The 22,986-nt window shown below is 38.6% G+C and overlaps 1 protein-coding gene across 5 annotated transcripts in view; it reads right to left on the reverse strand.

Moving 5' to 3' along the window:
• SLC25A21 (solute carrier family 25 member 21) overlaps positions 1-22,986 on the reverse strand; it is a 494,686-nt gene that overhangs the window by 128,744 nt on the left and 342,956 nt on the right. For 3 of the 5 annotated variants that reach the window (NM_001171170.2, NM_030631.4, XM_011537288.4), the window contains exon 3: positions 7,254-7,337. The exons of 1 other annotated variant lie outside the window; for it this stretch is intronic. In NM_001171170.2, the coding sequence (NP_001164641.1) occupies positions 7,254-7,337 (84 nt within the window). Of the gene's footprint in view, positions 1-7,253; positions 7,338-22,986 lie in introns of those variants that run through there. One more of the 5 variants, XM_011537289.4, reaches the window with a different exon arrangement.

The following is a 22,986-nucleotide window of genomic DNA, read 5'->3' on the forward strand; positions in this document are numbered from 1 at the left end:
GAAGAAGAAAATGTCTTCAGCCTATGGAAGCCATATTCTAGACCTAGGTCCATTGCTTTTAAGGCATGCCAGATAAATTTGCTATAGTTTATTCTCCAAATTCTAACTTATTCTATTACTTTTTTCTTGTCCCCCAACCCCCAACCCCTTTTTTTCTAGCTAAAGAGGAAACTTGCTGCAACATCATTAAAAAGCCCAGGCAGGCCATGGCTGAACTCTGGCAGTGTGGGAGCAAGAGCGGCTGGGACTCTCTGCTTTCCTTGTCATCACCACATAAAAACAAGGGAGCACTCGAGGGAGGTCCAGTGGGTACCAGGAAGGGCCTCTTTGCTAAAACAAAAAGAAGGGGAGTGAAGGCAGTCAAGGCACCACTCACGGAACTCATCACAGAAGTCACAGTGCACATTTGGTGCCTACCATAAAAGGAACTTGGGCAAACCAGGCTTACAAACTCAATCAACACCCAATAATCGACACAAAATGAATCTGCATGGCAGATTATCTGCTCAGGGGTCTGAGATGTAGATCTCATCTGAGCGAAGACTCAGCCAGATGTGAACTCCACCGGATCTGTAGTCTGATAAAAGCAACCAGCCCCAGGATCAGGCAACAGTGATGTCAGAACCATTCACTGCATTCCAGCTTGGCAATGCTGGGTGGATGAATTGGTCTCTGTTAGATGGTGCAGGAGAGTTGAGAGGGGAGAGAAAAAGCAGCAGCAACTACTGGGCTTCATGAAGTTGGAATTTTGTTAAGTTGGAAGTTTAGGAGGAGGATGATGATTGGTCAAATAATTAGATTCATGGCTGTGGGAAGAGTCAGCTCTTCCATTGTTTCTTCAAACCAATATCCCCCCACCCACACTTCCACATGAGGGTGAGGGACGGTTTCCAGAGACTACTTTGCTCAGGGGGTTTTCTACAGGGACAGGTCTTTCTATTTTCAGACAGCCTATTTTCATGGCTTTAAAACCACCCAGCCATGTTAGACTAGGTAAACCACTTTTTGAAAAGTAGACCCACTAAGACACTGAATTGAGCCAAACACCTTGGAGTCCACTGATAAAAAGAAAATGTCCAAATCTTACTAAGTTGTAGAGCTGTGGGCATCACACTTCCTTTGTCTGTGTCACAAGCCACTCATTCCCCTTCTTAATGAAAACAAGAGGGAGTGAGTATACCTCCTGGGGCTGTGCCATTTGTGCCGTCTGAAAGGCACTTAAATGAGTGGCACATTATCTCACACATCTGGAGTTTACCAAATTAGCCAATTATGCTCGAGCTCATAAAACGAGGCCTTAAATGTCATTTAACTAGAAAATATTATAATCACCAAGTGGTCTGATTGTAAGATGATACCTGGGGCAGCATCAGTGGTTACAGAAAACAAATCGTGAAACTAAACACAGTTCAAATGCCCCCCAAATGCAACCACATATTTTCTACAGCAATACTTTCTGAAGAATACCATATTTCTGAAGGCACCAGCAATCAACATGTTTCTCATTTGAAGCTAAGCTTAATCTGACCTAGTTGTTTCCTAGTTATTTGCCTTGAGCAAACCAATGCCCAAGAATTTTTCACATAAGAGAGCTAAGGAACAAACAGGATGAAAATCGACTGACTGAAAACCATGAACTTATCAGAAATACAGAGCTAATTATAAAGGATGGGGCAATGATTAGATTGAGTCTTGAGTTGCCAGAGCTTTGTAGTGCTGCCTCAGAATCACCAAGATTTGCTTGACTGAACATATACTAGTCTCAGAGCTTTCATACATTACTTGAAGGAGGATATAAAGCTGCTTTAAGTCGCTGTGTGATTTGAGGCTAGGAATATCAAAGACTTCAGAATAGCCATTTAAAGATTAGCCATTCACAGCCATTATTTCCATATTATCTTCTTTCCAGCCAATAAATAACAAAATTTGATCCTCAGTGGAAGATCAAATACAGTCTAACGGAGAAACCATGGTTATACCTGCGTGGCTTTGGGTAAGTTATTTAACTTCAGTTACCTTATACAAAACATGGGCATGAGGATTCTATGTTGTGTTAATAGTGCTGTGTTGATAAAAATTTATGCAAAAAAATTCTAGCATAGTTCATGGTACACTGAAGAAAATAAATATTAGTTTTATGTCTTTCTCTACCTACATCACCAGAGTATCTTGAGTTCTGTTTAACTCCTATTTTTGCCTTATTTCAGGAAGAATGGCCATTCAAGCACTTTCAGAGGAGGCAGAGTGGTAGATGGGAAGACTGTTCTGGGTTTACAACGACATAATGTATAGTCCCCTCACCCACCTGTGAACATTTCAATCACTCTTTTTAAAGGAATAACAAGTACAAAAGAGACTAGGCCAACTTTCATAAGATGCTCTGAGATAAAGGGGAAGTGAGGCGTGATGCATGGACACATGGTAAATAGAGATATCTGCCACTGTTTGCCAGGTGAGTTTACAAAACCAACGCTATTGGTTTTAAAGGCAGCTAATTAACTAGGCTGTATCTTTATGTCTTCTGGGCTCACTTTATTACAGTAGATGGACCTATTTATTTCTGTCAAACCAGACACAGATGAAAAGTTGTGGTGATGATGAAGGTACTCTCAACAGTGATATTTCTTTACTGCTTCATTTTCTATGAGTTCTCTCTTCTGTGTTACAGAAAACAGTGTCTTTTGTAAAAACTAGCTAAGTATGAGGATTCCATATAATAGAAATCCTTACTTGGAGTTTGGAATGCCTCTCTTTTTAAGCTTTAATCTCACTTCTGTAAAGCTGTGTTGAAAAGCCATGTCTTTCATAAGACATGGTTTTTATTAAAAAGTACAATGTATTTACGCTTTTTAAGAAGAAAAAAATGTTAGAAACAGTAAAGGGATTTGGACTCATGTGGTTGAGCTATTGTCTCTTGAAAGCAAGTGAATTCTGAGCAGAGAGGTGAGGAATTGCATCTCTAAGAATGGTGGAGAGAACCATTTCATTTTCTTAATGCTGGGGAAATGGGAGATCTGTGCAGATTTTAAGTGTATTAACAGACTTTAATGTTTTTAAATAAAAGAAAAGGACAAGCTCTCAAAACCTTTAACTTAGAGGAGATAGGAAAAACCAGGAGAGGCGAATTCTCCTAATTATGTCAACAGTCAAAATTGACTAGTGCTATCTTCCCTGCAGGCCACAGGCCAAACTGGCCTCTATGCACCTGAGTAGGAAAGACATCTTTGAAAACGGAGTGACTCTAAAAACTAAATAAGAAAGTCAAAAGAACTTCTTTAACTAGGGAAAAAAATTAACACAACATGTGTTAAAAGGCTTTTGTCTTCTTTTCTTCTCTTTCGTTTCTTTTTTTGTTTTTTCTTTCGTTTAACCCAGGGCTATGAAATGCTCTTGCTCTGTATAAAAAATAACAGGGAGCTTTTTATTTTGTATTTTAAAAAATATTTCCATCTCTAAGACTAGAGCTCTTTGGCTTTTGGCTAACAGCATGTCCAGATCTAAAGGCATCACAGGAAGAATGTCAATTTGCTCTAGAAGCAATTATACATACAGTATAGAAAAAGGCCAATTCCACTATGTAAGGACCACACATACTGTATGTTTGTTATATTATTTGATATCAAAGCAGAAGCAGAAACATCAAATTCTTCCCAAAACACACATGAATTGAAGATCTTGGCTAAGGAACTGCCACGTTCAATTCAGGGATATCTGTTACAGCTTACAGATCTCAGTAATGCTGACATTACTGTTTTGCAGGAAAGGGATACTTTCATTGGCTATGTAATAAACTATGATTTTCTTAACTTTCTTGTCATAATATAAAGGTTTATATTATCAACGTAGGGCATTTAGGTACCACATCACCAGAGTAATAGCTAAGAACTTGTTGACTTTTGTCACTAGGTGACCTCAAAATATTTAATCAAGCATCAAGATCATTATCATAACTTCAGAGAGGTTAGTCTATAGAAGAGTTATCATCTCTGTTTCATTTTGCATCATTATGATGTTGGTGTGATGACTTCCATTCATTTGTTTAGCATACTTACTGAGTGTCTCTACTCAGTGCCAGACACAAGTATAAGGAATACAGAGCTAATTGGGACATGACCCTTAGGAAATATATTCTTGGGATGGGAAAGGGGAGATAGAAAATGAGCTTCACAAACCAGGATGGTGCGTGCTATATTTTATACAGCATATGTAGAGAAAGAAAAGAGTGGGGGAAATAATTCAGCATATGATAGAGAAAAGAGTGGGGGAAATAATTCAGCATATGATAGAGAAAAGAGGGTCAGGGAGGGTGAAATATGAAGTCACTTTTAAATGAAGAGGGATAGTTTCTAGGGGAGGTTTGGGGATAGGGTCCTTCAGGAATAAGGAAGAGCATGGAAAAGCCCTGAGCATGTGAGAGACCAGAGTGTGGCAAACCATCTGCTATTCCTAGAGCAGATCTGAGTGTGAAGAAGGATCATGCCACAAAAGCTCTGCACACCATGACAAGAAGCTTGAACTCCATACCATGAGGTATATTTTTATATATTTCCCAAATACTCTGAAGATAAAATAATTAAAACAGTATGATGCTGATATAGCTACAGATAGATGAATGAGTGGAACAGAATAGGAAATGGAGAATCAAAATGGAAAATTAGAGGGTATATGTGTAGAAGTTTAATATGTGAAAAAGGCAGCAGCATTGGCTGGGTGTGGTGGCTCACACCTGTAATCCTAGCACTTTGGGAGGCCGAGGAGGGTGGATCACTTGAGGTCAGGAGTTTGAGACCAGCCTGGCCAACACGGTGAGGCCCCGTCTCTACTAAAAATAAAATAACTAGCCAGGTGTGGTGGTGGGCACCTGTAATCCCAGCTATTTTGGGAGGCTAAGGCAGGAGAATTGCTTGAATCCAGGAGGCAGAGGTTGCAGTGAGCAGAGATTGTGCCATTGCACTCCAGCCTGCGTAACAGAGTGAGAGTCCGTCTCAAAAAAAACCCCCAAAGCAAAACAAAACAAAAAAAGGCAGCATTTCCAATTAGTGAGTAAAGGATAGATTTTTCAGCAAGTGGTGTTTGGACAACTGACTGACCATTTCAAAATGAAATTTAATTTCTATATACCACACTGCACATTAAAAAATTATCAGCTGGATTAAAAATTGTAATGTAAAAAACTACCAGAAGAAATGTTTATAATCTTGGGGTTAGAGAATTTTTTTTAATGTGACATCATTAGATATCAGGATGGAAAAGATAGATAATACAAAATCAAAATCTTTAAAAATCACAAATTTCTGAAAGGTATAAGACACTATAGTTGTAAGACAAATGACAAGTTGGAAAAATTGTTTACAACCTACATAATAGTCAAAGGATTAGTATCTATAATACATAATAAGTACCTACAAATTAAAAAATCTAATCTAAGAGAAATGGGTAAAGGACACAAAATAGGCAATTCACAAAAGAAATGATACCTAATGATATGAAAGTATGCTCAATTCCAGTAACATTCAAAGGAATACACTTAGGACAGTTGTGTTTTTCATCTGTCAGATGGTAAACAGGAGATACATGTCAGTGACAGATATATCAAATAATGATTTATAATGTATTTGAGAGTGTGTGAAGAAATAAGAACTTTCAAATCTTAAGGGTATAAAATCAGTACATACTTTTTGGAAGGTAAGTTTGTCAACATCTGTTATAGAAAACATGCATATCATTTGATCCTGTAAGTCCATAGCTAGCAATGTACTTTACTGTACCAATATATTAAAACTATAAAAATATATAAAAGTTATGTAAATATATATCAATATATACTATATATTAAAATATATAGATACACACAAATGTGCAAAGATAGTATGAAAATATTTATTGCACTATTGTTTATAATAGCAAGAATTTGGAAGCAACCTAAAGGTCTACCATAGAGATTAATTTAATAAATTGCAACATATAGATAAAATAAATTACTATGTTGTTAAAGAGAATATACTGGCATGGAAAGATACCCATAATACAAGTTTAACTGAAATAAATGATTAGCAGAATAGTATTTATAGTGCAACCTGGCAAGACAGGTAGTGATCTACAGCAGTTAAGAGCGTGGGCTTTAGGGTCAAGCAGACCTAGATTTGATTCCCAGCTCCACTACTCACCAGAAATGTGAAACTTACTAACTTCTCTGAGTCTTCTTTATCTGTCCAACTGGAATGGAACCCAACAGAACCTACATCATAAAGTTGTAAGAAGAATCCCTACTACATAATAGAAGCTAAATATATACTAATTATTATTACTGTTACATTTTTGAAAGATTATTATTTTCAATGAATTTTCTTATAAAAACAATTTCCAAAAGCAAATATAATATTCTTTGAAAAATTATACTGGATAGTTAAAAAAATTTTTTTTATTATACTTCAAATTCTAGCATACATGTGCAGAACGTGCAGGTTTGTTACACATGCCATGGTGGTTTGCTGCACCCATCAGCCAGTCATCTACATTAGGTATTTCTCCTAATGCTATCCCTCCCCTAGCCCCTCGCTTCCAACAGACACACGCACACATATGTTTACTGGATATGGTTTTTAACTGAATCTACACATTGAAGATAATTTTAGCCTATGTAAACAAATATTCTATTTATTTGATCATTTAATAGATCAGATAATTAATCGGACGCATCAATTTTTTTTTTTCTTAAAGACAGTCTTGCTGTCACCCAGGCCGGAGTGCAGTGGCGCAATCCTAACTCACTGCAACTTCCACCTCTCAGGCTCAAGCAATCCTCCCACCTAAGCCTCCCAAGCAGCTGGAACTACAGGTGTGAGTCACTGCTCCCAGCCTTGATGCATCAATTTTTGATACAGATCTGTTTTATTTGTATATTCATAAACTAGAGTGTGAACGGGGAATGAATTTGGACATTGTATTACAGTACCAAAATAAAGAACTATTGAGTTTAGATAGCCTCAGTTACAGAAACTTTAAACAGCCCTAGTGGCATAAATTAAGATTTGTCCTCTAGTCATTAAACTAGTTATTAATATCTTCTTGTGGTAGTTTCCATTATATATATATCCAGTTTTCAATCACATTATTAGGAAAAACATAACAAAGTAGAAAGGTACCCTTTTAAGTATTTTGCCCCTAGTAAGACTAGGAAAATAAACCATTCGAAATGAGAAAACATGTTAAGTAGAAACATATTAAAATGGCTATATGAAGAATATACATACCCTTCCATTTGGAAAATCATTCGAAAGCTGTCTACCAAGCTTTTATAACTGTTTGGATCGGTTGCACATCTCTGAATCTGAAACCTAGAAGCAAAATCAAACCAAAAATTCTAAGTTAAAGATTTTGCCAAATGGCTTTTCTCATTTTTTAAAGTCTTAGAAACTCAGCTTTTCAGATTAATCTAGAATATTCTGCTTTGGTATGGATTTTATTCATTTATTAGCCTTATATAATCTTTACCTTATTTTCATAGTCTTTAAAATTACATTTCTCTGTAATTTAATGAAATCTATAGAAAAAAAATGTATTTTCATCTATTTCTTAGCCAGGCAGATTTGCCCTGAGGCATTTGTGCTTTTTCCTTTTGTGAAGAGCATACACAGATATCGTAGATTGTTTTAATGTAGAATTCAGAATTCTGAAGATGCATATGAAAAAAGTCAGTAGTGCTATTTCTTATAAGTCTTCCTTGATGGCAATTTAGTATGAAGGTTAAAAATACAGAGTAGCCTGACTAATATTCAGAATCTACAAGGAACTGAAACAAATTTACAAGAAAATACCAAACAACCCCATCAAAAAGTGGGCAAAGGATACGAACAGACACTTCTCAAAAGAAGACATTTAAGCGGCCAACAAACATGAAAAAATCCTCATCATCACTAGTCAATAGAGAAATGCAAATCAAAACCACAATGAGATACCATTTTATGCTACTTAGAATGGCAACTAATAAAAAGTCAGCAAACAACAGATGCTGGCGAGACTGTGGAGAAATAGGAACGCTTTTACACTGTTGGTGGGAGTGTAAATTAGTTCAACCATTGTGGAAGACAGTGTGGCGATTCCTCAAGGATCTAGAACCAGAAATACCATTTGACCCAGCAATCCCATTACCGGGTATATACCCAAAGGATTAGAAATCATTCTACTATAAAGACACATGCACTTGTGTGTTTATTGCAGCACTATTTACAATAGCAAAGACTTGGAACCAACCCAAATGCCCATCAATGATAGACTGGATTAAGAAAATGTGGCACATATACACCATGGAATACTATGCAGCAATAAAAAAGAATGAGTTCACGTCCTTTGCAGGGACACGGATTAAGCTGGAAGCCATCATTCTCAGCAAACTAACACAGGAACAGAAAACCAAACACTGCATGTTCTCACTCATAAGTGGGAGTTGAACAACGAGAACACATGGACACAGGGAGGAAAACATCACACACCAGGGCCAGTTGGCGGCTGTGGGGAAAGGGGAGAGAAAGCATTAGGACAAATAACTAATGAATGTGGGGCTTAAAACCTGTAAGACGGGTTGATAGGTGCAGCAAACCACCATGGTGCACGTGTACCTATGCAACAAATCTGCACGTTCTGCATATGTATCCTGGAACTTAAAGTAAAAAAAAAAAATACAGAGTAGCTAATAGGGCCTAATATTAATCCTGATTGTAAATTTGGAATTCATTCTGGCAGGCAGGAGTCTGCATTTGAAGCAAGAGGTGGGGTTGTATATTGAGGTTGTATTACTCTACAGTTTACTATCGCTACTCGGTGATGGAACAAGGTTGATCATTCTGGGTAGTTCAGGCTACCCGGATCTTCACAGAAGCATAGTGCCCTGCATATAATTAGAGCTCAATAAACATGTGTCCCATTTTTGAAAGGTAAGTTCTTTTTTCTTCTTTTTGCATATGATCATGCATCCCTGAACTCTTAGCCCTCCAAATGTGGAAGTTTCCAGTACTAGGGTCTTATCTTTTTGTTTTGTATTTGCTCTGGAGTTTGTTTCTAAAGAGGTTTATAACAAGTACTCTCATTTCTCCCGTACCTGAGTTGTTTTCTATACTTTGGGTTCTTTACCCTGCCTATTCCTTGTGCTTTACTTTATTGTTCCTGTTGTAAGTTAGGGCTCTTGTTCCTTCTGTGGGAGGGAATTCCCTCCACAATTTTACCTGCTTTTTAAAAAGAACTTTTCAAAACACTTCTGATATTATTTAGTTCAAAAATGCTTTTCTTAGATTGTTGGCTTGATGATATGAACGCAACGTCTACTTCTAGAAATAATATATTTTATAGTTCTAGGCCTCACAGAATTATGCTACAAACTGACACATATCAGACAGAAGAATGAGTGTACTGCTTTGACTGAAGCAGTTGGGCATATGGGCAGAGTGAGTGTGGTATAATACTGAAAAGCAAAGCAAGGCTGGAATTACATTTAGTTTTGTAAAGTGGAAAGTTGCTAGATGTGTTTGTGAAGAAGTACTGAACAGTACTGTGAAGAATTTTGTGAACAGTACTGTTCAGAGAAGTGGGAGTTCAGTCTTCCAGCAGAGTTCTTTGCAATAAAAATCTCTAAATGAGTATCTATTGACCAACTGGATGGATTAGAAAGGGAGTATGGCAGGGAGAACAGTTAGGAAGGAGATACAATAGACTGGGTGAGAAATAATGGTGCTAGAATATAAATAAAGGTGACAGGAATACAACGAAAGGGGCAAGCTTGTTGGGTAGTCCTTTTTCTCCTTAATTTTTAAAAATGACACATTTAACATATTCTCCTCTTTTTTTTTTTTTTTTTTGAGACAGGGTCTTGCTCTGTCCCCAGGGTGGAGTGCAGTGGTGCCATCACAGCTCATTGCATCTTCAAACTCCTAGGCTCAACCTCAAGGGATCTTCCCACCTCAGCCTCCCGAGCTGGGACTACAGGCATGCACCATCATGCCTAGCTAATTTTTAAAATTTTTTTCTGTAGAGGTGGCGTCTCCCCTTCTTGCCCAGGCTGGTATGGAACTTCTGGGCTCAAGCAATCCTCCCGCCTCGGTCTCCCAAAGTGCTGGGATTGCAGGCATGAGCCACTACCCCTAGACAACAAATCACTTTGAAACATACAGAGCAATTTCCAAAATACGACTTTGGTTCAGTTCAAATAAGAATCTTCATTTCTGTATTTGCATATTTGTAACCTATATTCATTGTAGAGTATAAAATCCTTTCTTACATCTAGTGGGAAAAACCAAGACTCTTCTCTAACTGTTCTTTAAAAAAATATTCAAAATAGTTTTATATATTATGAAAGTATTATATAAGCATAGATGCTTTTCATAATATCCGTAATAAGCTTTAATTAAGTTCATTTATCTCAGCAAATTTCTTTCTAGATGCATTTTCCCAAATTACCAAATATTTTCTTAATGTGTTCCATATGATTTAAGATGCTACAGGTTTTACAAAAACCCAGGGTATTACCTTCAACCTCAAGAAGCACAAGAAAGAAATATGAAAAAAAAACCTATATAAGAGGAAATATGCAAAATGTGAAGTAGCATCGGCACTGGGTCGTCCAGGTGTTCACGAGGGGAGCAATTACTGCTTTCTGCAGAAGTTCAGCAAGGGTTTCAGGGAAGAGAAGGATCTGAGCTGACTCCTCCTGGGAGTCAGAGAGTAAATCAGGAGGAAGCATTTCAGGTGGGGAGATGACAAGAACAATGGCCAGTGAGGGAAAGCTGTCCTTTCTAATGGGGAAGCGAACACCACAGCCGCCTACCCCGTTTCCTTTGGGAAAATGTTACAGTACTCTGCTTGCTGCAGGCACTTGGTTGCTCAGGGTGCATGGAGACCTGAAGTGGTTTGGTAGAAGGTATACAGGAGCTGAAGTCAAAGCCCAGTATAAAGCACTTGACCTTTTCTGCTGCTCAGCTCAGCACTTCGGCTACCTCAGGATGGCCATTGCACAATTGCATGGCCCTGGTTCCAGATGGGCCTGTGAACAAGTCAGCAGATGGGCCAGGCAAGCACGTCCTATGTCTAGATATTCAGCCTTAGCCTTTCCTTCCCTTCTGTGGTCAGAGACCTCAGCTTTGCCTATGATGTCTGCATGCTCAGGTAATTCCCAGGTGGGTTTTCTGACAGCTTGTGCAAACGTGTATACAGAGTATGATGATTTCACAAGTCTAGGCACTTCACTCACTAGTTGCAATTTCTTTTTCTCTTTGTAGAACCAAATAGATAATATTTCCAATCTATTGTTCATTCAGTTAATAAGAGTTCTTGAATACAACTATTTATTATACACTCTACTATTTGGGGGCTTACAAAGAAATAAGAAAAAGCCCTGCCTTGTAGAAGCTTTCAGTAAAGTGAAAGAGATGTGCAAATAGATGATTACCATACACAAAAACTATTGTTTAGAAATAGTGTTTCAGAGTATCAGATGCTAGCACCACTCTTATTGGGGATGATCGGCTATTTATGGGTGGGAAATAGTACTTTGCAGAGACAATGGAAGGGAAAGGGAGAGGGGAAATAAAGAAAGACTATCTTGGAGCTACATATCTGCAATTAAACTTTACCCACAGATTTTAGAACAGGCAACAAGAAAGGGCAGTCCATGAAATCCTTGAGGAGTGCTTCACTTAGGAGCTGACTGTCTGATGAGTGATGCTGAGTTAATTACAACCAGGAGCGGCAACATCAAAATAACATCACAGGAGCAGAGTCCATAAACTGTGTTGCATGAGCAATGCAAAAGGATGGGCAGGCATGGTAACTGCTAATGCCCCAGTAAAGCCTCCCTTCCATTCTTAACTATGCTAAAGCAGTGAGAGGCCCCATTACACAGGCTAAGGCAAGAACAGTTGTCTCTTCTACTGTGTATCTCACATACATCATGTCTACGCTTTGCAGAGAAAGTACTTGCAGTATTTGGTTGCAGTATTTTGTTCCATTACACATGACTTATTCTGATCACAGAGTTATCAGTTCTTCTCAGGAATCTGTTTCAAGTTGATATAATTATAGTGCATTTTGGTCAATCATGTAAAACAGCAATTTCCTTCTTCCTCTGCTCTACATTTCAGCAACTTAAAAGGTTTCTCTCTTGGATTGAAGCTTTACATCAGCATGTTCCAAGCTGCATTTTCTGCTAACAAATTCTCTCTACTTAGGGAGACAATTTTCCAGTTACATAATACAACCCCTTGTAAAATTACAAAGGCAAAGCCACACCACTCTTGATTGCATTTAGAAGACAGGGTTGGACTTCTCCATTGTCCTAATAAAAGCAGCTTAAATACATCTGGAATATCCATCTGAGTAACTTCTTTTATTAGGATGGAAACTTGCTGCCACACTGACAGAGTGGACAATGAAGTAACACTTGGGACATATTTGGTGCTTAACATCCGATCAGAATCACACACAACAGAAAGGAATGTGGCTCAAACCCTAGGCTGCATTGCAAAGGAGCCAGATACCTATCTGCCGCTGTTCTCATAGCCAAAGGACTGCACACACTTAACAAATGGGAGGAAACAGGCCCTGTCATTCACCAGCCACAATACTGAGTGAGTTACTGTGGTAGCCAACAGGGTAAGGAAGGGCTTTTCAATGTTCCCAAACAAATGTACAAGCATATTTTTTAAAGACAAAAAATGTTTGCACTAATTGAAGCATTTTTTTTTTCTAAATTAGCTGAGAATCATGACTGCAGCATTTCGCACTGTCTTCATTGTGTGCTCAGTGATATTCTATTTTAAACTAGTCTGTGACTCAGTCTCAGCATAGATATACCACTTCCACTTGTTTGAGTACTTCTGAAGATATGGCCAAAAGAAAGATATGCCTGTAAGAAATAAAATGGCTTTGCTGCCTTAAAAGTCTCAAGACAAGGGTGTTTGAAAATTATAAAATCTCAAATTTATGCAGTGCCTTTATTTCCAAAGTAATTTTACATCTATCATCTTCTTAACAAATACTGAACGAGTCTATTCTGGGGAGTGGAGGCTTTAGAAATATATTTGTACACTATACACTATATATGCATATATAGTATATATACATATATAACTTACATATTATACATTTGGTGCAAAAGTAATCGTGGTTTTGGCCATTACTTTTAATGGTGCCTAACACCCAATCTTTTAATGGCCAAAACCGCACTTACTTTTGCACCAACCTAATATAACTTATATATTCCTATCTTTATATGAATATGCAGTAATTGAATTGCAAAGGGTTGGATTGGGGTAGATGATAGGATTTGTCCTGAGGCTACATTTGCATAGCACACGACTCTGCTTTTTAGTTAGATCATATGATTATTTGGGGTGCTTTGGGAGAGGGAACTGATGGAGACTGGCAGTGGGAAGCCATTCCAAGCCACCCCTTTGGCACTGCCACCAATCCCTAAGCAAACCAGTGAGATAGGTAAAGAGCATTTCTGGCATCACCCCTGGATCACTTCTTAGTTCAGTAGTGTTCCTGTGCTCTCTTCTGCCTTCTCCCATTCAGCTCTGCTTTTGGAAACACATTCACATCCATCATTCATCCTTATTGTGACTTTTACTTTAATGTGCCATCCGTCAAAATGTGTCCTCTCTTATAGGGATTTCAGCTATCAAAAAGGAGATAAGAAGGTTTGTTTTTGTCTAGGATAAAAATGCAGGGGATCCTTACCACCAAAGCCAGCCCTAAGTGCCACTTTTTCCCCCTTCACTGGCAGTTTATGCCACAATGCACTAGGCTGTATAATAATTCCACCTTTGTGTCAAAGGAGGTGAAGCATTTTGAGGAACTGAGACACAGACTGGGAGCCACCGGTTATAATTCCAGTGCTGCCACTGACTCACAGTGTAAACTGGTGAGATTTGTAATTTAATCCCTCTGCCTTTTTCCTCAGCAATAAAATGGGACAATTTGATTTGAGGGAAAGCAGCACACAGACTTAATATTTGAGTTTGTTAGCCATAAGAGAGAATAGACCTTGCCTTTTGTATTCTAAAGCCCCCAAATTCCATCCTTTCTAGAGGTGGGAGACTGCTAGAAAAAGTTGTATACTGATAATAAGTGGTGATGAGCCTAACGAAACTCCCTGCAGAGATTTCCGTGAATGTGCTATGAACAAAGATTATTAGTAATTACCTGAATATTACACGTGTTCCTCAATAAACACTTGAGAAGCCCACTAATGAATCAGAGATTAACAGACTAAAGGTTTGCAATTACAGAACACATTAAAAGGATAACTGTAGGAAGATTAAATAAATAAAGATTTTAATTCACTGTAATTAGCCTTTCTTACTGAAATTAGATGTTGCTCCTACAGAGTATGTTTGCTTTCTTATGAGTTGGTTGAGCATAGCCAAAGTCAGACCAAACATGCAAAGACATGTCTGAGGTTTTGAAATTTATGTGTACACACCGACCTCACCAACTCTGGGCAAAGACCCTAGAAAGCACATCTTCAGAAGAATTCCCACCATGTATGTTTCTTTCCCATTTTCTGAAAAATCACCACCCAAGAGAAGAAATAGCACCTTCTTACAGGAGATAACCACTGGGGACTGTGCCTTTCTCATCCCTCCAGAAAGAGCACATCAGATGGTGGAAAGATGACACTGCTGGTTTTGAAGATAGTTTTTTTTAGCAAGTACTGGGCAGGGTGGGGTGGGGGATGCCTTCCTTCTAACATTTCTCTATGTCCATAGCTTTACTCTTCCAAGTTGAAGTATCTTGTAATGTGAATGGTAGTTTTTAAAAAAATTTAGCTGTGGGTATTTTGTTTTCACTTCAGATTAAATATAATAATAATCTACACTGGCTGGGTGTGGTGGCTCGCACCTGTAATCCCACCACTTTGGGAGGCCAAGGCAGCCGGATTACTTAAAGTCAGGAGTTCGAGACTAGCCTGGCCAACATGGTGAAACTCTATCTCTACTAAAAATACGAAAATTAGCCGGGCGTGGTGGCAGACACCTGTTATCCCAGCTACTCAGGAAGCTGAGGCAGGAGAATCAGTTGAACCCAGGACATGGAGGTTGCAGCGAGCAGAGATCGTGCCACTGCACTCCAGCCTGGACGACAGTGCGAGATTCTGTCTCAAAAACAAAACAAAACAAAACAAAACACCAAACCAAAACAAAACAAAAATAATAATAATAACTACGTAACATTGCCTTAGCACTGACTGAGCTCAACAGGGCCTCTAATCATGTTCGAAGGGTGTGGTTTATAGTTCCAGACATGAATTTTTGTCTCAGCATTTACTGAGCTCCCCAACTGTACAAGGAACAAGGTTAAGGGTTTGGGGGCCCCAAAGATGAATAACACCCAGGTCCTGCCCTATAGAAGAGAACAAACCAAGGTAGGGGACAGGAGATGTTAGTAATTAACTATAAAACAAGGTAGAATATGCATGTTAAATAGAGATTCTAGGAACTTGGTTCACCTGCAATTTAAGCATTGCCTTTGCTTGTTGCTTTCACATTCTAGGCCTGGCATCAATTAACACTCCAAAATAATGCTAACAAGTCCACCAGGGTCATGGAGTTTGGCTCTGCCCAAGCAGTGATCACTAACTGAAGTTCAAAATTAGTACTCATACATATTTGGCTGCTTATCAAATTATTCTAAAAATCTAGGGAAAGATAGATACTTTTCCTGATTGTTGCTTAGTCATTTCCACAGGACACAGAAACCTGTGGTTAAAATTAAGATGTTCTTTGACTGGTTAAAATCTATATGTCTTTATTAGGTGTAGGTGGGCAGAGCTATGCATTGGCTTAACATTTATATACTGTAAAGGAGACCAATAAGTGTCTCTATGTTATTATAAAACAGTTTATAATTTGAAAAAATATGTAACCTGGAGTGCTCAGTCAGCCTAGATAATTACCACAGATAAAGTAACAACATCTTGGCAAGGCCACAAAGACAAGGAAAATCTTCTGTGCTATGTAATTTTGAACATGTTTTTTAACAGAGCCTCAAAAATACTATCTCTCTGAAATATCAGATCAACCCTGATAGCCTGAATATACTTTAAGTAATTTCCTGTGATCCTAGACACATCTAATTGCAGTTCCTTTCACAAGCCAAGGAGATTTAAAGACTGATATTTTGTGTCTGTACACTTTACAATTCAGTCTTACAGTACACTTAAATATCCTATAAATAGTTCATCATTTTGTCAACCACAGATTTCACTACAATAAACATTTACTTGCATATCCTTCATGAATATGGTGAAATAGATCTAGTTTTGTACATCTTTCACAATTACAAGACATATGGTATTTCTAGTATTTAGAATCTATGTAAAATTTGACATTGCAAAATGAATTGTGATAAGAGAGTTTATTCCACCCTCTGGCACAAGTTCTTCTACTTGTTTATATTACTTATGGGATAATAACTAACTACACTGACAATATAATTCTAAAATTTATTTTAATGACAATATGCTAGTTAACAAGTCAGAGGCAAATGATCATGAGAGATTACAACCTAAATCTAATAATGTTAAACCACAAGTAATAAAATAGGCTAATTAACATAGCTGTATAATTAAAATGCTCCAAGCATAAACTGGTCTCCATTAAACAAAAGCTTGACTAGCATAACTTTCAATTATTTTGCTTTGTAAAATACATGTCACATCATAAAATTATGCTTAATATCAGATTATAGTGCTACCACTCTTTGAATACATATATGTATGTATGTATACACATATTTAAACTTCATATTTAATGCTAACAAATGACTTCACATCCACATGCTCTTACTACATTGTCCCACCTGCACTGACCTAGGCTGGCCACTACAGTGGTTAATTACCATGAAACCAACTCATATTTGGGAAATGGGGGAAGGATGAATCAAAGACTGGAAATAGAACCCATTGTCAAGGTAATGAGAATAGAGAGGATCACACCAACCTCAGCAATCAACTATTAAAATTACAAAATCAAGACAAGTATCGTAGTTTTCCTGCATTTTCCAAGTAATTACGGTTTTAAAAATTTGACGCCCCAACCCAAAAAAGTTACCTGTGCATCTTCTCTCTCCGATCCTCCCAAGCAACCCCCTTGAGTCCACAAGCTTTTCCTGTATTCACCAATCTACTGCCTAGTGAGTAAGAAGCACAAAACACCATCCTTACCTGTTGAACATTAGCTCATTGTTCAGGATGGGACTGAAGTTCTTGGTTTCTAGCTTCCATAATGGATTTCCAGAACAGGGAATTTGAATGTAGTTAAATCTGCTAGAACCCTCTCACTGTCCCTGGGAACTGAGCCACTCTACAGAAAGTATGCACTAGAGAACAGGAGCCAGGGGCCCAGTGAAGGAGTCTGTTGGAGAATATGGCGTCTCTGGAGACCTAATATACTATTCCATTTTATTTTAAGTGATCAAGTGTACCTACTGTATAGCTTATTGAGCACTGATATGGATGCTTTTCAATAATATCAAAGAAAGATGAAAAGAATGTGGGTTGCTTTGCATTCATAAGCATAATTGCTTATACTAGGAAAAAAATTGGGGGAATGGAGATACTAAGCTTGGCTAATAAGGAAGAAAATATGCTTATTCTTATCATAGTTGAGGAAAATTTCAAGGGAGGTTTTTATTTTTATATCAAGATTAACCTCACATGTTACCAAGATTTGGATTGGTTGTTACCAGTTTCAAATGAGGACCCAATTTTCAAAAGCATTTCATGGATGGATCGAACCCCAAACTGACAAACAAATGGTAGTCATACTGCTTACTTTTATATCACTTTCAATGTTGAGAGCATTGTAACATATATAATCTATCCCAGTGTGTCCTCTAGTTTCACAGTTTCCTTATGTTTGTAGGATTAAGATCGCTTAGAAAAGAAAAAGTGCCAGTTTGGAGCTAAAAGGGCACCGGGCTAGAGGAAGCAGTTTTCTGCTTCCAGTGGTACTGTACTAAAAATTTCATCTCTAGTTCAGTGAGTGACCAGTAAAAGTGCTTCTCTGAACTCAAGCTTTTTCATTAGTGAAAAGAGAATCACTTATATAGCCCCCAGCTGACAGTGAAGTTTATCTCTGGAATCCTAAAAAAAAAAAAAAAAAAAAAGCCCTCAAGGAACTGTGATGGGGAGAGAGAGCCAGCCTTCCAAGAAGCTGTGTCCATTTAATTTGATTCCTCACTGCCAGGGGTATAGACTATGAATGGAGAGAGATCTTCCCTTAGGGGAGAAGAGATGGACATCTTTGTAGGAGGTTTTAGATGCAGGTAGATGGACATCTTTGTAGGAGGTTTCAGATGCAGGTCTGTTTGGAGAGCAAAAGACATCACGTGATCTCATGTGATCTCTTTTAGCCTTCTCTTCATAGCTAACTGCATCGATACATTCTGGACAACAACAACAATAAAAGATCTGTCTATATTCATCTATTCCATGGGGCTTACTTATTTCCAAGTGTTTAAGTGCGTACTGAATGCCTGAGGAATATCGTCAAGGCCAGTATAAACTAATGAGCTCTGTAGCTTCTGTTTCTCTCTCTTTCATGATCTCTTCCTCTTTCTCTTTCTCTTAACTAAATGCCTTTAATAATAAACATTCCATTATGTCATGAACGCATACTCAAAAGAGATCCAGTGGAAGGGTGTGGTTTCATTATCATCAAATTACATGTTAAAAATAATTAAAAATCACTTAGAATACTGGCAACAGAAGAGATGCATGAATTAATCCGACCTAGTAGCAGGCCCAACTTGTCCATAGAACTTGAACAAGAAAACTATGCTTCACTAATTAACAAACATTTAATAAAACCAACTCATATGTTTGGCAGTTTTATAGGCAGGTGCTTTGCTGGGTTGCAAAAACACTACAAGACAGTCCAAGTCATTTAATTTTGTAAAATGCTGACTTTAGCTAGCAGCTTTTACGCAAATGTTAACTTTGCATTTTAAAACCTAATTACCTTTAGAAAATAACTCTCTGTTCTACAAATTGAGATCTAGATAATTGGGTGTCATGGGAAACCTAGGTTTCCTAAAATACTAAAAATTAAACATAATGCATGCTTTTAAAATGGGACCCAAGTTAGAAATCTACAGTGAATACATAAGAGTTAAATCTCCTCCTTTAAATTTCCGCTGGGGTGAATTGTCATATCTAATGAAACTCCCCTCATTCTCATGCAACGAATCCTCCTGAAATTTAAGTGAGCAGATTAGAGTTAAACATTTGGAATTTCAGTCACTCCCAAGTAATACCTTATTATTGAGTATAAAAGAGCAAAAAGTGTTCTCAAATAGTGGAGTTTACAGATAATTCAAGCCAACTAACATTCATTGAATGCCTGCTCTGTACTGGTCACCCAAGTGTTAAACTCTGCTTTACTAAGACACCAACTCTCTCACAGAAGTTTGCATTACAATACGAGACAAACATGTAGCATTCAAACATTAATAACAGGCAAGTCTTCCCAGGTTTGTCTTATTCTTGCTTGCCTCCTTGAATAGTACACAAGGAGCCCAATGTAGCATTTTTGGGGTCAGTGGGGACCTCTTGAATGGGAATTACCCTCCTGTTCTCCTGCAGTGTTCTCCTCCAGCTTGGCAAGGCTTGGGCAGGCGAGTCCCTAGACTAATTGCCTCACATTACTTTTCTGGTTGTTTCCCTGTATAGTTTTGTGCTGTTTTCTCTCTTTTTCCTATGCAGTGAGGTCTCATTTGTTGCCCATCAGTGTGTCTGCCTCTAAGCCACTCTCCCTGCTCTGGGAGCCTCCTCCCACTCTTTCTCAGCCACATTCCTCCTATGTGCTTTAATTCACCACTCAAAATCAGCAGTGGACTAAGGACCAGAGAACCTAGCTTGATTATGGCTCTTCGTGAGGGCCTGAGGGGCCAAACCATGAGTGAAGTCCATGAACATTAGTGTCTGGCCTTTGCAACATCAGTATGGGCTGTTCACAGATCATTTTTGTATGTGTTCTGTTTCTCATTTCCATGTCAGAGAGTTGAGGTTCAAAGATAAGTGGCCTCTGGCTAAGTTCGAACATTCCCTGAGAATGGGCTGTCCTGGGGGGAGGAGGAGTCATACGGCCTCCATTTTCCTGTAGCATTCTCTCCCATAGGCCCAGGTGGTCACTCTCAGGTATAGCCCCTCATGCGCCATCAATGGCTTGTGGCTATGTGCGCCTGTCCCTTCTGGATCCCTCTCCTCTAAGGGCTTAATAGTGTCCCAGAAGCCAAACAAGATCTAATCACAACTTTGGATGAGGATGGGGATGAGGACGAGGACGAGGACAGTGACAAAAAACACAGCTGACGCCAGCCTGAATGATTCCCTCTTCCTTTTGTTCCCCTGTTTGTTTTGTGGATTGTGTTTCTGTTTGCTTCTTCAAATAAAATGCCCTTCTGTGCTTTTTATGTTTGTTTCTCACTTCTGCATTATGGACTATGTGGTATGTGTCTGTTATTTAGACTTTCATAGATGTTTAGTTTGACAATTTGACAAAAGTATGAAAATGTCTGTTGAAAAACCTTTACATTTTCAGAATTCAGACAGAATCACTGTGGTTTTTCTGTTGGCTCTGGTGGCATTGCACTATCCCTTTCGGTGGAAGAAAAGAGAAAGAAAGAAAAAACCACCACAAAGTGTTCTGCTTCCCAGTACAAATGCTTTTGGGCCTACTAAGCCCACTCTTACTCATGTGCATTAGGTCAAATTCTGGCTGAAATCATGCGACAACTGCAAATTCATACTTTGAAATCTCAAAAAAATCTTGATATACTCTCTAGGGTAGTTGGCAGATCTTTCCTTTTTTGTGTTTTAATTTTCTTTAATATAGACAATTTTTGAAATAAGGCAAGGGAAGAAATGAGTACCTTCAGTGGTGAAATCAGTATATTCACAACTTTAAATATGTAATGCCAAGATAACTTTCTACAATGAAGATTGGTTCAAATAAATATTTGTTAGTGGTATTACTTGTGTCAGGTTAGGTTTCAGTTAACTATTAAGAGAGTTAAAAGGTTATGAAAATAACATGGTGTATACAATAAATACATACAATTTTTGTTAAATCAATAATAAATGTAAAAACAGCTATGTGGTTTCTGAAAATGTTTTTAAAATTTACCAGAGATAAGCAAGTATACAGTTGAAGATACCACAGTTTTAGATTCTAGTGCAATACAGGAAAAACAATTGCAAATCCCAAGTTTAAACATTCTGGAAAGTTAAAGACACAAGACAACTTTTTTGTTACATTGCAACACCTTATCCTAAATGAGTGTGGCTTCATGCCTTCATCAAAGGATTTGGTGGCTAGGACCGATGTGTCTCAATGTGACTCACATAAAGGGGGAGGTGGTTTATGACGAGATCATGTGTGGCAATGTGAGGTCTTCTGGGACCATGTGAGGTCTTCTGGAACTGGGACTGAGGCATGGAAATCCATGAGGAACTATGCAGATGGGATCAACTGTCCACTAAACCTCCTGCTCCCTTTTTTGTCATATAAAGTTGATTCTAGAAGACATGCACCCAGCTAGATACATCCAGGGATACTCCCGGCTCCCTGTACATCCAGGGATAGCTCATGTGACTAGCTCTTGTCAATGGAATATAAGCAGAAGTGACATGTACCACTTCCAGACTGAGGCTTTTAAGAAGTAATTGGCACTTCTTCGTTTTCTTTTTTGTTTCACCTGCAAGATACACCTTACGAGACACATCTCACATCAAGACTGTATCACTCACAAGATGGAAGCAGAGGGTTCCAAAGCCCTAGTGGGTGCAGAGACACAGATGGGAGAAGCCTGGATCCCTAAATCGCACACTGAGGAAAACCGGCTACCATCCAGGAAAACCTGTGTTGTACTATTGTAGAAGTGACTCTACTTCTACGGGTTAAATTGCTGAAACTTAAGGATTTTTTGTTACTGTATTGGGTGTGCCTTAACTGATACAAGGATTGGGATTGTACTGTGACTCTGCCTCTCTATGAGTCCTCTTTAAAGATGGTTCCTCCTGGTCCTCGTTCTTCCTGCTCCCTCATCACACTGACTTTGATAGACTGATGCCAAGTCTTGGTGTACTATGATGCAAACCTAGTGACCATCACTTACTCCTTTCTGTACCACGTGTGCCAAATATCTTTCATCAGCTCTTCCAGATCCACTCTCTACCCCTTTCTTTGTTTTGTTTATTTGCTTAAGAGGGTCTCACTATGTTCCCCAGGTTGGAGTGGAGTGGTGAAATCTCACCTCACTGCAACCTCCACCTCATGGGCTCAAACGATTCTCATGCTTCATCTGCCTGAGTAGCTGGGACTACAGACACCCACCACACCTGGCTAATTTTTTTAGTTTAGTAGAGATGGGGTTTTACCATGTTGGCCAGGCTGGTCTTGAACTCCCGAACTCAAGTGATCCACCCACCTCTCCCTCCCAAGGTGCTGGGATTACAGATGTGAGCCACCGCACCTGGTCACTCTCTACCCATTTCTACTCTGTTCCTTCCCCTGAGAGGTGATTTGAATTGATTGCCTCAAAAGACTCCTGTGTTATCCTACTTCCAGCTGAATTTGGTTAATGAAGATCCCTGGCAGGTGACAAGAGGCAGGAGAATGGGTTTGGCATATTTATTCATCTGGTTCCTTCCCGCAAGGCTTCCTCAGGCTTGCTGGTTCTGTCAACAGGAGTTCACTGTTCCCATCAAGGAGACTTCTCAAAGATAAAGAGTTTTCATCTTTGAAGTTTTGGTCACCTTCTTCACACATGCCTTGGAGTGACAGCTCTAACTCCTGGTGCTGGTAGCCCCAGGATCCTGAGTTATTCCTTGTGGTTTTCTTTCACCCTGCCCACACCTTTACATTTAACTCATGTACAAACTGTCTTCAATTTATCCTACTTTTGGAGTGCCGTCTGTTTCTCTCACTGCAA

The sequence above is a fragment of the Homo sapiens genome, chromosome 14 (genome assembly GCF_000001405.40).
Source record: "Homo sapiens chromosome 14, GRCh38.p14 Primary Assembly".
Taxonomy (NCBI): domain Eukaryota; kingdom Metazoa; phylum Chordata; class Mammalia; order Primates; family Hominidae; genus Homo; species Homo sapiens.